The sequence below is a fragment of the Homo sapiens genome, chromosome 1, assembly GCF_000001405.40.
Source record: "Homo sapiens chromosome 1, GRCh38.p14 Primary Assembly".
In the NCBI taxonomy this organism is placed as follows: Eukaryota; Metazoa; Chordata; class Mammalia; order Primates; family Hominidae; genus Homo; species Homo sapiens.
The window spans coordinates 163,208,835-163,225,762 of record NC_000001.11 but is presented as its reverse complement, the minus strand read 5'-3'; the positions used below and the strand labels follow the sequence as shown (position 1 = coordinate 163,225,762).

The window sequence follows — 16,928 nt, the reverse complement described above, 5'->3', positions numbered from 1 at the left end:
AATTTATGAAATGCAGTGGTTTCATAGTCAAATTATTATTTGTGATTGATTGGACTGGTGTGTCTAGTGCAGCAAGTGCCTCAGGGTATCAAGTGTCTCATACACTTAACTCTATGGCAGTTACATAATAATAAGTCCTGCAAGGACTGTGATATGTGAGTGTGTGTGGGGTGGGTAGGGGGTGTGGGTGGGTGTATTCTAGCACTTCAAGAGAATGACAAACTCAGATGTTGAAACACTAAGCTTGAATCATGGTTAGAGAGCCCTAAAAAAGCCTCTAATTTTGCAGCCAGAAGGTCAATATTTTCAAAACCAAACACAAGACTTAATTCTATATGTTGCAGAAGTGTCATAGCCTCCCCAAGTTTCTCATGTGAAACTTTGAGCCCCCATAGATCCATTGGGAAGTAACGGATTCATGAGGATGGGTAAATCTGGATGGACTCAGCTATCTCAGCATATTGAAACCTGACTCACTGTGACTCTTCCTTGACAGTGGGAACAGTCTTCCCTTTTGTATCTGAGGAAGCTAGTCTTCTCTTGCTTGAAGAACTTTTAATAACCTTAATTAGATGCTCATTATACTCAAAACCCACCCCAATGGAAACTATGAAACATAGAGGAAAAAAACACAGGGGAAACACTTCATTATTTGATCAAAGCAAGGATTTTTTGAACAAGACCTCAAAAGCATAGGCAACAAAAGTAAGAATAGACCAATAGGATTTCCTCAAACTAAAAAGCTTCTGCACAGCAAAGAAAGCAATCAACAGAGTGACGAGACAACCTATAGAATGGGAGAAAATATTTACAAACTATGTATCTGATAAGGGGTTAGTATCCAGAATATATAAGAAACTCAAAAAACTCAATAACAAAAAAAAAGTCTGATGGCCAAAATATCTGAATATACATTTCTCAAAAGAAGACATATAAATGGCTAAAGAATATATGAAAAAGTGTCCTACATCACTAATCATCAGAGAAATGCAAATCAAAGCAGAATGAGATAACGCCTCACTTCAGTTAGAATGGCTGTTGTCAAAAATAAAAAATAACAAATGCTGGTGAGGATATGGAGAAAGGAGAACTCTTATACAATGTTGGTGAAATGTAAATTAGTACAGCCATTACAAACAACAGTATGGAGGTTCCTTTTTATAGAACTACCATATGACTCAGCAATCCCACTATTGGGTATATATCCAAAGGAAATGAAATCAGCATGTCGAAGAGATATCTGCACTCCCATCTTTATTACAGCACTATTTGTAACAGCCAAGATATGGAACCTATGTAAATGTTCATCAACAGATGAATGGATACAAAAAATGTGGTATATATGCACAGTGGAATACTATTCAGCAATTAAAAAGAGAAACTCCTTTCATTTGCAACAACATGGATGAACATAGAGGACATTATGTTAAGTGAAATAAGCCAAACACAGAAAAACAAATACCACATGATCTCACACATGTAGAATCTAAAAAGTTGATCTCATAGAAGTAGATAGTAGAACAGTGGTTACTGGAGGCTGGGGAGGGGAGGGGAGGGAGGAGGAGGGCATGGAAAGAGGATGGTTAACAGTTAGATAGGAGGGACAAGTTCTGGTGTTCTATTGCACAGTAGGGTGACTATAGTTAACAATAATATATTGCATATTTCAAAATAGCTAGAAGAAAGGATTTTGAATGTTCTCGCCACAAGGAAATGACAAATGTTTGAGGTGATGGACATGCTAATTACCATGATTTGATCATTACACAACATATACATGTACCAAAACATTACACTATACCATATAAATATGTACGATTATTATGTATTCATTAAAAACAAAATAAAACTCAAAAAGCCTTACCACCATGACCTTATGTTGCTCCCAGACCTATAAATAGACTTCAATCTCAGCAAATTTGGATGGGGGCAAGTATGAAGTCTGACCTGGGAGGAAATAGTTTATACGCTAAGATAATTGCAAGGTTTTGCTAATTTAGGTAATTCAAATTGGTGGAATGTGTACATCAAGGAGTATGGAATATAACCTTGGCTTATGTCTAATTTATTGATGAGTTCTTCTGCCAGATACTCTAGAGTATAGCTGGAAGTAGTGCTAAAAAGGTATTTGGTGGATTGATTAAAACTTGGGCTATGTCTAATGAGGGTGAGATGTTAGATCTTTCCTAGCTTAAAGAGAAAGGAAGCCAAAGGTTTGGAGATATAGGAATGCTGAAAAATATGTATCATTTGTGCCCTACACACCTACCAAGCCCTACACTTCATCCCTTAATGGGGTCCAGACAGCAATTACTTCTTCCCCAAGGCATTAAGAAATACATTAGTGGGAGGAGCAGCAGCATCCTTAACAGCTTGAACTATATCTGTACCCTATCATCCTGTGATTGCAGTAGGAGATGCCACCATTAAGAGGGGCTCTCTGATTTCATTGAGATTGTTAGAATCCTAGGATAGAAGTGGTCAGTTGGCAATGCTTTATCACATATGACAAGGTGGGTGCTTTTATTGTAATGGGCAACAGGGACACAGTGGTAATCAGAATTCTTCTGACTCAGAAGACTTTGTAGTGGCTAGTTAATCTTGAAGCAATCAATAGAGGCTGGGCGCAGTGGCTCATGTCTGTATTCCCAGCACTTTGAGAGACCGAGGTGGGAGGATCACCTGAGGTCAGGAGTTTGAGACCAGCCTGACCAACATGGTAAAACCCCGTCTCTATTAAAAATACAAAAATTAGCCAAATGTGGTGGTGCACGTCTGTAATCACAGCTACTTGGGAGGCTGAGGCACCTGGGAGGTGGAGGTTGCAGTGAGTCAAGATCATGCCACTGTACTCCAGCCTGGGTGACAGAGTGAGGCCGTCTTAAAAAATATATAAATAAATAAAAAAATAAATAGAGAAGCAGCTCACTAAAATTTTGCTTTACATAACAGGAAAAACTACAGTTCTGTTGGCCGGAAACCTGACTTCGGTCATCTCAACAAAGAACCCCTGTCTTTAACCTAGTTTCCACACCTAAGCCAGTTCACAGTCCAAGTCCTTTGAGTGCTGAGAGGTCAGGTCTCCTTGAGAATCTTCTCTGTTGCTCTGTCACAAGTATACACTGTAAAGATTCTTCTAAGCTTTCCATAAAGGGACCTGTCGCTATTTAATAAGATATCTATACATGGAGAAAAGGAGAACCCAGATCCTTTTAGGAATTACTAAATACTGACTGTTGAGAATCCAATCACCACTTTGGTCCACCAGTCACGGTGGTGGCTTATGGAGGTCAGGTGATATGATGGTCCCCAACTTTTTGGCACTAGGGACCGGTGTCATGGAAGACAATTTTTCCATGTAAATGGGGTGGGGGGTTGGTGGTTTGGGGATGAAACTGTTCCTCCTCAGATCATCAGGCATTAGATTATCATAAGGAGTGTGCAACCTAGATTCCTCGCATGCACAGTTCACAATAGAGTTCATGCTCCTATGAGAATCTAATGCTGCTGTTGATCCAACAGGAGGCGGAATTTAGGCAATAATACTCACTCACCTGCCACTCACCTGCTGGTCTGTGGCCTGGTTCCTAACAGGTCACGAACTGGTACTGATCAGGCGGCCTGGGGGTTGGGGACCCCTGAGGTAATATATTGAATTTTGGCCGAGTAAGTCCGTCATTATTTCTCTGGTTCCTGAATAAAAAATTGAAAAAAGCTGTATTGGCAACTGGCAGATACTGACATTGGATATCTGACCAATTGAGTAAAGGTCATTATTATAGGAAGGGCCAAGTGAAAACCTATGGAATCTCTATTTTCTACTATGTTAGTAAATCATAAAAATACTGGATTTCTGGGAGAACTGTAGAGGTTAGCCTCATCATAAAAGTCTTAAAAGATGTAGAGATGTTGACAGCTCTTTTATTCTAATTTAAGTCACATGGTTGGCCTATGCAAAATGATCTTAGAGAATGACTGTAGATTATAAACTTCATCAGGAAGCAACTCCAACTGCAGCTGCTGTTCTAGATATAGTAACTTTACTAAAATAAATCAGCACAACTCCCTGATAAGTGGCATGCAGCTATTGAGCTGGCAAATATTTTTTTCTTTATACTAATTTGCAACAAACATCAGAAGCAAATTCTTTTTGTCTGGTATGACTAAAGCTTCATAATCTTGCATTAAGACTACATCAATTTGACTGCCTTCTGCCATAATACACTCTATGGAGATTTTATTGATTGATTGATTGATTGATTGATTGATTGATTTTTGAGATGTAGTCTTGCTCTGTTGCCCAGGCTGGTGTGATCTTGGCTCACTGCAGCCTCTGCCTACTGGTTCAAGTGATTCTTCTACCTTGGCCTCCCAAGTAGCTAGGACTACAGGTACACACCACCACGCCCAGCTAATTTTTATATTGTAGTAGAGATGGAGTTTCACCACGTTGGCCAAGCTGGTCGCGAACTCCTGATATCAAGTGATCTGCTCACCTTGGCCTCTCAAACTGTTGGGATTACAGGAATGAGCCACCGCGCCCGGTCTCTACAGAGATCTTAATTGTCTTCTTGTTCCATACAACATTACACTGAGGAAAGAAGTTGGCTGATAGCCATAAAAGGAATCATTTTGCATACATATGTACAAATGGTGGGAAGGGCTGACCAGAGTGTCTCCTGATATAATTCACCAAAAAGAACCTATTAGCTTCCTACTATTGCTATAACAAATTACCACAAACTTAGTGCCTGAAACAACACAGATTTATTCTCAGAAGTCTAAAGTGAATGTCACAACAGGGCTGTGTTCCTTTCAGAGGCATTGAGAAGAGTGATTACTGGACTTTTTCAGCTTCTAAAGGCTCCTTGCTTTCCATGACCCCTTCCTTGCACCACTCCAAACTTTTACTTCCATCATCAGATCTCCTTCTCCTAATTCTGATCCTCCTGCCTTGCTCTTGTAAGGACCTTGTGATGACATTGGGCCCACTGAGATAATCCAGGTTAATTTCCCCATCTCAAGATTCTTATTCTTAACTTAATCACCTTTGCAGAATCCCTTTTACCATAAAAGGTGACATGTTTACAGGTTCTTTGAACTAGGACATGGACATCTTTGAGGGAGGGGGGCATTATTCAGACTACCACAAGAGCACAGCATCAATTCTGTGGCTTGTTATAGAATTGGTCCTGTGGAAATATCAGATGGACTAAGTTTGAAAGTCACCGTAAAGAATCAAAGAGCTAGACTTTTTGAAACTGTCAAAGATGTAAAAGAGAGGAAAAGAGGAGCTACTGCAGATTGAAGGAGATTCATAAAATATGATGACTAAGTGCAACACACACGTGATTCTGAAATAGAAAGTTTGGATACTTAGTAAAATTTGAATGGAGTCTGTGGATTGGATGAGTGTTATATCGATATTGAGAGAAAAACGTGATTATTTTAATGGATGCAGAAAAAAACATTTAAAAAGGAAAAGAACTCCTACAACTCAATAAGAAAAAGGTACACAACCCAGTAGAAAAACATAGAGAATAATTGAACAATTTACAAAAGAATATTTAAATGGTCAATATGTACATATAAAGGAGCTCAACTTCACTGGTTTCAGAGAAATGCAAATTAAAACTCTGATATAATACCACTAAACAAGCAAAAGAATAGCTAAAATTATAAACAGTATCTAGTGTTGATTAGAATGTAGAACAAGTGAAAGTTTTATAGATTGCTGATGGGAATGTAAATTGGTTCAGGCATTCTGAAAAACTGGCGGTATCTACTAGAAACCAAATATATACTCCATGTCCCAGCAATACCAATCCTAGGTATATGTAGCCAACAGAAATGAGTCCATATGTTCACCAAAAGACACATTCATAGAAGCAGTATTCATGATAGCCAAAAATTAGAAAAACTCAATGCTTATCAACAATGTAATGAAAAATAAATTGTGGTATAGTTACAAAATTACAGTAATGATTTTCAAGCTTTTTGGCCTCAGGACATTTTACTTTTTAAAAAATTATTGCAGAACCCAAGGAACTTTTGTTTTTATATTTTATATTTTGTTATATCTATAGCATGTATTATATTGGAAATTAAAACTGAGAAAATTTTGAAAACAGCAATGCATGAACATCATCTACATATCATGTAGCCTCTGGACAACTCCACTGTACACTCATGAGAGAATTAGAATGAAGAGACATATTATATATTACCATTTTATAAAAATGGTTTAGATCTTGTGAACACACTGGAAAAGGTTGCAGGAACCTCAGGAGTCCCCAGATCACATTTTTTATAATCTCTGCTTATACAACAATTAAAATGAAAGAACTACAAGATGCAAAAGTATGGATTAGTTTCCCAAGCTTCATGAAGAGGCCTGACACAAAAGAGTACATCCTATATGATACCATTTATATGAAAATAACCAGGACCAGCAAAACTAAACTATGCTTTTTTACAGTCAACATACTACGGGAATAGGACAAAGAGGGAGAACAGGCAGGGCTTCTGGGGTGCTCTTAGTGCTGTTTCTTAATCTGGGTGCTGGTTGTACGAGTGTGTTAAATTTGTGAAAATCCGTAGAGCTCTCCACTTGTAATACTTTTTTGTATGCATTTACACCTCGATAAAGAGTAAGACAAATACATAAAATATAATAAAAATGTAGTGAAATGCTGATCTATTTTCTTTACTGAGAGCCGTAAATTCTATCCAGGTAAGAGTCATTGAGTTTGAGAATTCCAGTCTCCCAGCAACAAGCTTTGACTCCAGCCCATCCCTCTGGCCCTCACGCAATTATAGACAATAGTTTGGGTGTAGAAGCACTACCATAATCTGCTTCTTGATCCCCAGCTGTTTCCAAGTTATATCTTCACAATACATACATTTCTTCCTTTTGTCAGGTAGAGAACACTTCTTAGGAAATGCTGGAGAATATCCTGAGGCAATCTCTTTGTCTTTTACCATAATCCCATTCCTTAATCTCCTATTTTCCCATAGTTTCTCTCACTAATTTTACCTTGGGTAAAGTTTCCTAACCTTTTTTATGCCACAGACACCTGGGGAACGTAGGTGAAGCCTGTAGACTCTTTCTCAGAATATTTTTACATAAATTTTTTTTTACTATTTTCTCTATTTTTTATTTTTATTTTTACATATTTTATTTTGCATAAAATAAAATGCATAATGCACAGAAAAAAATAAATTGAAATATAGTTGTGAAACTATTAAAAACACATGATGTAATATAGGTGTCTGTAATTCATGTAAATTAATATTTAAGATATACAAAATTAATATCTAACAGTGGATCTACTAAAATTTAAAAATTAGTTTTGAATGTAAATGATATTTTAAGATATTTGTAACAACTATAATGTGATACAAAAATATCTGTGAATTCTATTGGTGACAAATTACAAATATCCATCTGTGGGTTTGTTGGTTCTATATTTATAATTATAGGAAATGCTAAATTTCAGTTAGAGGTTAATGAAAAGAAAGATATCATTTTTCCCTCATTCAAGTTCACATATGCTTTCAATTTTATCAACCGTCTCTCAAATCACCTGAGACACATGGAGCCCTGATGAAGAACTCATGGGTCATACTCAGCTTTTCAAACCTGCATAGCTCCAAATTACCAGACACTTAGTTCACTTGGGCTGCAGGATATGGCAAAGCCATATTACACAATTTTTTTTTTTTTCAGGCAGGTCACTTTTAGCCCAAGCTTGTCTCTATTCCAGGCATGATAAATGGTCAACACAAATCCACATTATAAATAGTGGGTTCCTCATGGCTCCATGTCCTACCTCTTGCGTCCAATCAGTTCTGCGATTTAAAATCTGTTACTCACAGTACCGTAATCTGCGTACCAATTTTCTCTCTGTTAGTTTACATTCCAAATAATATAAATCCCAATTCAAACAGTGTTAACCAATAAGAAGATTTAATAAACCACATATCAGAAGTTTCGCACAATGGTAGAATTCAGGTTCAGGATACTTTTAGTCAGTAGCTCAACAATGTCATCAAGGTTCCAAGTTCTCTGCTCTTCTCTCAGCATTGTTTCCCAAAACAAATTCTAAGGAACACTAGCCCAGGAAAGAAGTGTCTGACAAAACAAAGAAACAAAACCTCAGTGAAAAATGTGCGCAAGAAACATTTCACAGGATATTCTCATCTTACAGATGCACAGTGCTCATTGGCATATCAATGTATGTACAAATATTAGTCTTAAATAATGGTTTTCTTTAATGTTATAATTTACAGGAAAGACTGTGCATAGTTATTTTGTGGAAGGATGCCAATAGTGCTCTATTTTAGGGCCCAAATTTCTTCTCTTTGATGGGAGGAAAAGTGCCAATGCTGATGTCTTTCAGGGACCGTTCTTCAACAATCAGTGTTCCTTCATGCAAAAAACCCAGAGTAAAGGCCAGATTGTTTTGGTTCTATTTCAAAGGGAAGGTGAACTGAACAGCTGAGTCTTTTTATTTTTTTAACTGTTATTTTAGATTCAAGGATACATGTGCAGGTTTGTGATACAGGTAAACTTGTGTCATGGAGGTTTGTTGTACAAATAATTTCACCACCCAGCCACTAAACCTAGTACTCAATAGTTATTTTTTTTATTCTCTCTCTTCTTCCACCCTCCTCCTTCAAGTAGGCCCCTGTGTCTGTTGTTCCCCTCTTTGTGTTCATGCATTCTCATCATTTATCCTCCACTTATATGTGAGACCATGCGGTATTTGGTTTTCTGTTTCTGCATTAGTTAGCTAAGGACCACACTTTGAGCTGACATTAAAAACCCAGTGGAGTTTATGAAGCCAACTGTAATGTGAGTACTTGGGGGTTGTGAAGTTTAGTTGGCGAGGTCGCTGTGAATCAAAATTTATTTCAAATTGGGTTTCATTTAGAATGACTTTAAAGTAACTTTATCCACCCTTTCTCAGGGCCATCACAAACTGAGAACCCTGAAGCCCACAGCATGCTCACAATGGTTCTACAAAGTTATCTGCAAAATACTTGACACTTATTTGAGTCTTACATGATAATATCGTCAGTGAATCCAGTATTAGAGTAACTGTTCTTATACTCAGCACAGTTTTTGTGATTGCAAATGACGACCTACGAAAAATCTCCTAAAAGTAGTTTGCTGACAGGTTATAAATCTCCACCGTGCTATCTATAGCTGAAGTCAATCCGCCTAGTTATTATACACCATAGAGTTGATCTCTGATGAGACAAAATAAAAAGTGTTTATTTATGGATCTTATTGATTTATTTCCTCCACAAGACAGTGGGGGAAATCTGTGAAGGCTGGAGCCCATCTGGTTTGTGAGTCTTTGCACTGTCACTTTTCATATGGTTAAAATTTCCCAGGCCAAGAGGTTTCACTAGGCCCACTAGGCTGCAAGGGAATTGAAGCTCAAATGGTGCCTCATGTCCCCCTCTCTTGCCTTTGCAAGTCTTCAGGATAGCAAATCCTCCCTGGCCCCTGTGCACTTGGCAGCCTTCGATAAGGGGCTGAGACGGGGTAAGGAGTGCTCTTCATGGGTTCCTTCCCGACTCCCACATTAGCACAGGTAAAGCTCTAAGAAGTCCTGGTGAAAAAAACTGTTTAATTTTGTTTTAAACACTGTTTCTAACCTTATTTGGCAAGAAACCCACTAACATCCTACAGAATCAGTGCTCCACTGAACATGCCTTTGGGAGGCCTTCATTACATGACTTCTGCCTGACTCTGGCAAACTTTTTCTCTAAAAAGGTTTAGGTGTCTGCATATAGGAGTGTGTATAAAATTTTTATTTTATTTTATTTTTATTATTATTATTTAAATGAATAGACACGGTGTTTCACTATGTTTCCCAGGCTGTTCTCAAACTTCTGGCCTCTAGTGATCCTCCCACCTTGACCTTCCACGGTGCTGGGATTACAGGTGTGAGCCACTGTGCCTGGCCCAAAAACTTTTAAATGTAGTTTGGATATAACCCAAATGCCTAATAATTCCCTTAGGAAACTGGGGGAAAGAAGACTGGAGAAGAGATTTCAATTTATTTATAAGATTAATTTGTTTTCTAATGTTTGCTTTCATTCTGGTGTAGAAGAGTTAACAGCTCCCTCTCGCAGCTGCCGTCTTGGGTAAAGGTACTATTCTTTGTGGTCCTCCTATTGTCTAACTACACTTTTGTAATTTGCTCCTTTATAAGTAAACTTTCTTCCAATTATCCTAATTTGAGTGTGCCATCTGTTTTCCCACTGACACACTAGTATTGCATGTTTACTATGAGACAGAAAGATTCTAGGTACTTTAGATAAGTTAAATCATTTAATCCCAAATGTAGCTACATCTATTAACTATATCTTATAGATGAAGTGACTGACATCAGAGAGTTTGGATAACTTGCCTAAGGTCACATAGCTAGTTAGCAACATGAGTTTGGAGTAAACCCAAGCAGCAGGGCTCCAGAACACTTGCTTTCTACCATTATACTATGCAGCCTCTCAAATAAATGATTTTGACTATATACGATGAAATACATGCAGCATTTACAATGAATGACATAGATAAATATAAACCAACATGGGTAGATCTCAAGAATCTAAGGTTGAGGCAAAAAGAAAGCTTCAGAATCATTCCATTTTACGTATATTTTAAAATAAATACACAAAACTAGCTTCAGATTGTTTATGGATATATATGTGTGTGTGTTTGTAGTAAATGATAAAAGGTTATTTGAAAGCAAACTAAATGCATCATAATGGTTTTCTTGATAATGGAAGAAAGTGTGTCTAGGGAAGAGAACAAAGGAGATTTCAACTTCACCTACAATGATTTCTTTGTTTAAAACCACAAAGTAATGAAGAATCTTGGAAAAAACAAAATTTGGCAATTTTTGATTCTAGGTCATGAGTACATGAATGTTTGCTACATTACCCATTGCACTAAAGCAAACACTTTTTAAAGCTCAATTCCAAAAAGCAAATAGCAACAATAACACAAAAATTAAAGAAAAAGAAATGTGAATAGTAAATAGAAGGTGAAGGCATGGAGATTAGATATGGAAAAAATTCTTTAAAGAACTTTGGCCATAATGGGGAGGAGAGAGATAAAGGAGCTGTGGTTGGTGGTAGGGGTGAGATTAAGGCTAGGTTCTTGAAGAGAGACTGAAGCATGGTTGTGTGATCATGGAGAATGAGCCCGAAGGAAGGGAGAAACTGATGATGAAGGAGATAGAGGGAGATTATATAGAAAGGAGCAAGGCCCTGTATCTGTGAGCAAGGGTATATATATGTAGTAATAGAAATGTGAAGGTGTTCGTTTCTGAAGGATTCACCCTGAAGTGAAGTATGGATGTGGTGCAACGCCTTGAGGAGAAGGTATGAGATAGTCATTTCAGCAAGTGGGAAACTGAACTTAGTAGAGCAACCTAGTAGAATTTCTGGGGAGAGCCAAGTACCCATTTGAAGTTACTGATCACAGATTTAACATGAAATCTGTCTCTCCTGTGTGAGAACCTATGTGATTTTCTTCAAGAACATTTAGTTTCTTGGTGAAATTAGACTTAGGTTTTGCTATAAGAATACATTGGAGAAATCAGGAGTCAAGGGAGTGTTTGCAACAGTAATCATACTTTAGTCCCATGGAGCCCAACCATGGGACTAAAGTAGGGAAATAAATAGAAGAGGGATTTGAAGACTGGTGAGAAAGTAGAGTTCAATCGATTAATTATCTGATGAGGTCAAAAGATTATTTTAATGGGGTTACTTGATCAGTTAATCTCAAAGAATAGGAGATGGTGTCAGAAAACGGAAGGTTTGGATTTGAGATCTTGCAGGTGGAGAAGTTTCTGGTAATGACGAAATTCTGGGTGAATCATTGGTGGAGTGATGCAAAGCTAATTAGAAATGAGTGTTTTTAAATCCATGGTGGAAATGTCAACTGAAGGGAGATTCAGGGGGGCTTTCCCCTGAATACAGATGACACAGTGAATGGAAGATTGTGATCCTGCAGTTGAAGTTCTTGGAGCGTAGGAGGAAAAACCAGGAGGGAGAAGTTAGTTTTGTTTTATTTAGCTTCAAACATGGATTAAATAAACAAAGAGTTTTGTTTTCCTTGCATATCCAGAAGCCTGGATGTAGGCTCTCCAGGCTGTAAACAGTAGCCACATAATGCCAATAGCCTCCTTTTATCCTTCCTCTAAACCATCTTTAGCTTGTGGCTTTTGCCTCCATGCTTGCTGCCTCATGGTTATGAAGATCCATCATCAAGTTAGCATTACACTCAGAAAGAATGGAGAGGAGGGGGACAAAATGAGAGAGCCAGCTGACTCTTCCCCCATTTCCAGTGACTTCTTGCGAATTCTGTCCAGTATTTTGTGTTTACACCACATTAACTAAAACCATGTGACATGGCTAATCTTAGCTTCAAGGGAAACTTAAGTTTTAATTTTTCCTTTAAACCTGGGCATATTTTTGCTCCATTCAAAATCAGTTTTCTTTTTTTTTGGAAAAAAGCAAGTAATGCATAGCAACTAATAGCATCTGCCATGTGTTATATCCAGGACATGAGTTTTAATGGATAAATTAATTTTGTGAAACCAAGGAGGCTTGTTAATCTGAAAATAACTATGTACAGCAAAAGGGAAGACTAAATTACCTTTTGATCCTGCGATCCACAGGATACAAGTAAAGAAAATTAAAATTATATTTATTTTTTCTTGTGTGAGCTACAGTTCAATTTCATTGAAGTCTAGGAAGTGGTAGAAGTGAAAAGAGAAGAAGAAAAAGATAGGGAGCATAAGCTAATTCATAAAGACACAGATATAGGAGGGCCAGTGATATGGATATAAGAGAAAAAGGAATTGGAACAAAATAGTGTGAGATTAATAGTTGATGAATAGTGAGGCTTTACCTCTGCAGGTGCCTGAGGTAAACAGAGACATAATATAGGATGGTGTTGATCCCTAATAGTATATTGGAGGAGAGTGTATATCATTTTGTGGCTGTGGTCTAGATACTTAGGTTAGTGGTGTATTGGCTCCCAGGACAGCTGTCCCCTTGACTTACATGCAGAACAGTGAGGGAGCTATAAGGAAGCCTGCTCCTCAGGCTTCACTGGAGCTAAGATGCTGTGTGTCAGTGGCAGGCATGCCCAGCACAGTTATGGAGGTTGTGTTCTGCACAATAGCACACAGCCAAAAGAGGTTGGTTATCTGATGAGCCAGTGCCTGTGCCTTGGTGCTTTGAGAATCAAGCCATGTACTTAGGTGTTTTGTCCACCTTGAAGAGCCTTTCTTTTCTAGTTCTCATTAAGACAATATTTCCAGGCAATGCTATGATATTTGTGGGTATTCCTATTTATTTAATTAACTTATGTATTTTTTTCAGTAACAGAGATTTACTTATACAGGTTCTCCAGCCTACATGTTTTGGGGGACCCAAAGACAAATAAAACATGTTCCCTATTTATCCTCAAGAAGCTTAGTGTATACCAAGGAAATAAGACACAATAGCTGTAATCACCCAGACTCAAAGAGCCCCAGCATGTTAGAAATGGAAGGGAACTTAGAGGCCATCTATTCAAATCACTCATTCAGACATGGGAACCAAAACTAAATAAAGACATTTGTGAAGAAGGAGAGTAGGAATTGCAAGACTAATCCTCAATCCAAAAGATGTTTCTTATTTTGTGGAAAAGGAATTAAGTCGAAGACATTTTGGCTCAGAAAGATCAAAAAGGACTTTGTTTTTAAAATGTCCTTCAGTACTACATTGGATAATATTTGTAGTGAGAACATGGACTTACAGAATGTTCTTCCAACAGAAATTATTTGTCGGGGGAGGATGCTGTTCTCCAGGGAAAGGGACAGCTTTTTTTAATGGCCACTACTGACCTTGAGGATAAATACAGCATTAGAGTAATTATACCAGAAAAGCAGCTCTCATAAAACTATGTTGACTGTTCTTTTCAGAGACAGAGTAGGACTCCTTGTTTATAAATATTATCCAGAGGCAAAAAGCATGGAGCCTGAACCCAACTCCATCCTACTTCTCATATATCATATGTGGTGAGAAATTCCTGGAATTTCCATTAGAATCATCTTATTCTATAGTTGAGTGGAGTTTAGATACAGTGAGGCCATCCCCCAGAGAAAATTCTATCAAAACATTTAATAATGTAACAGAATATAGTTTTCCAGTCACGATTCTTTCATGAACCAAGCGAAAAGAGCTAGTGAGAATCTTTCTAAACTTCTATGCCTTCACCACCTCCTCAACTAAGAAGGACTTACCAAAAAAGCCCCCAGACTCCTCACATTTTGTTCCCTTAATACGTTTTCTTAGAATCATCATTTTATTCATTTTCTTTTCACTTTGTCTCAGAATGGACCTACACATTTCCAAACCTCAGCCTTCCCACTCCATTCACTCTGCTCACATTTCATTCTCCTATTAAACATAATTAACCTTATGGCTCCTTAAGTTAACGTACCATTTCTCTCCTTCCAATCACCCTTAACCTCCTGAAAAAAGAAATCTTTGCTCATTGCTTTAACTACCTCAACTCCCATTCACTAGCAAATTTCTTACAAATGGAGTTCTGCACCCACAACTTCTCTGACATCATGATCTTCAGGGTATTTTTTCAGTCAATTAACTTAGATAAACCTGAATCAAACCTTACCCATTTCACTCCTGTTTACTCTTGGCTTAATTCAGGATTCCTAAATGCTCTTAGCTTGAGTCTTCCATATGCATAATCCAGATTTAAACTATTCATTCCCCCACTCCATTCTCCAGATTCCAACCAAGACACCAACATATGACCAGGTTCAAAAGCCAGTGTATACAGTAGAGCCAGGCATAGCCAACGTAGAGACCTGACTTTCATGCAGTTTGCCTTGGGAGAAAACTCTTAGAGGAGGTAATTCCATAGAAGATAAAATCCTAGACAGAAATTAAAAGCCATGAGTAAATTCAGTGTCATGGAAAAAAATTTTTTAAAAAAAGGTAATTTCAATAGCAAATCTTTGTTGAGTGCTCATTGTGTGTAAGGCACTGTTATAAACACTTTTAGGCATTGTCTCCTTTAATTTCACTTTATAGAAAATACAGAGGTGCTCAAATTTTAAGTAATTTGCCCAGTGTCACAGTTAGACAGTGATAGAACTATAGTTTGAATTGAGATACTTTCTCTCTTTCTTCAGTCTGTACTCTTAACCCCTATATTCTACTGCCTCCTAAAAAGTCACTGGAATCCTTTAAAAGTGTTTAAAAAAATTTCAGGGCAATTAAGCCAGGCCATTATATCCATAAAACTAGAACAAGAACAGTTATTGAAAAGAATCAAATAGAAATCTTAGAAGTAAAATGTATAGTCATTAAAATGTTTAATTCAGAAATAATTGATAATTCTTTAATAAGAATAAAGACATACAGCCTGGCATGGTGGGTGGCTTGTGCCTGTAAGCCCAGCATTTTGGGAGGACAAGGCAAGCGGATTGCTTGAGCCCAGGAGCTCGAGACCAGCATGGGCAACATGGAGAAACCCTGTCTGTACCCCAAAAAATACGAAAAAAAAAATTAGTTGGGCGTGGTGGTGCATATCTGTAGTCCTAGGAACTTGGGAAGTTGAGGTGAGAGGATGACTTGAGCCTAACAAGCAGAGGTTATAGTGAGCTGAGATTGCACCACTGCACTCCAGCCTGGCTGATAGAGCCAGACCCTGTCCCAGAAAAAAAAAAGAATAAAGACATACAGAAAAAGAAAATTACAGTTGTAATCTTAAAACCAATATCATACTTATTGAGGAAACACTAGAAAATGTCCACTAATATCAGGAATAATGCAAAAATATGCCCTTCTCAATATTGTACTATAGATATTAGATAACATAAAGAAAATCACTTAGAGGCATAAAATTTGGTAAAGAAAAAGAAAACTATCTCTTTCTTGCAGAAGCTATGACAGCAAGCCTCAAATACCCTAGAAAACTGACAATAAAACTAACTTGAACAATAATATAATTCAGTGAGGTATCAAAATATACACTTAATAAGAAATTAATTAGAGGACATAATGGTAGAGAAAATCCCATTTATAATAGAAGCAAAGAAGATTAAATACTTAGGGATAAACTTAGCAAGAAACGTATAAAACCAACAAAAGGAAAATTATAAAACACTCTTGGCAGATACACAAGTAGACTCAAACAAATGGTAAGATATTCCTGTCTTGGGATAGGATGACTTAATGCTATAAAGATGTCAGTTCTCCCTAAATTCATTTATAAATTTAACACAATCCTAATAAAAATTTCAACAAGCTTTTGTAGGGAATAAAAGACTTGATACTAAGGTTCAACTTGAAAAGAATGGATATACATGAATACCTAGACATTAAACACTACCAATCTCGCATAATTAAAACAGTATTCTACTGGTAATCGAAAGGACAAATATACTGGTGGAAAAGAATAGTTCAGAAATAGACTTAAGTACACGTGGAAATTTAGTGTAAGATACTCTGTAATTTCAATTTGTATTTCTTCTTTTCACTCAGTTATTTAATAGAAAGTTTTTGAATTTCCAGGAGGAAGGGCCTTTTTGGTTTTGTTAATCACATCTAGTTTTAATTCACTGCAATCATAGAACATTTTTTGTAATATTTCTACTTAATTGGACTTAACTAATTTTCTTTTTGAATTGTTATATCCTAATTTTCTGTGAATATTTCATAGGTATTTGAGAAGAAGTTAGATTCTCTATTAGCAGGGTGTAGAGTTTGATATATATCCATAAGAAGTACGTGTGAGTGTGTGTGTATGTGTGTGTGTTTGACCATAATACTTATTTTTTGTCTTCTTTCTTGTACTAAGAATGAGGCATGCCAGTCTCTGATTATTA

At 37.2% G+C, this 16,928-nt stretch overlaps 1 protein-coding gene and 1 long non-coding RNA gene across 10 annotated transcripts in view; one reads left to right on the top strand and one right to left on the bottom strand.

Annotated features, from left to right (window-relative positions):
• Positions 1-16,928, top strand: part of RGS5 (regulator of G protein signaling 5) — a 179,437-nt gene that overhangs the window by 95,973 nt on the left and 66,536 nt on the right. The gene's annotated exons all lie outside the window — the stretch shown is intronic.
• Positions 12,740-16,928, bottom strand: part of RGS5-AS1 (RGS5 antisense RNA 1) — a 51,349-nt gene continuing 47,160 nt past the window's right edge. The window contains exon 4 of the long non-coding RNA NR_110699.1: positions 12,740-14,970. This is a non-coding gene — a long non-coding RNA (RGS5 antisense RNA 1). The remainder of the gene's footprint in view (positions 14,971-16,928) is intronic.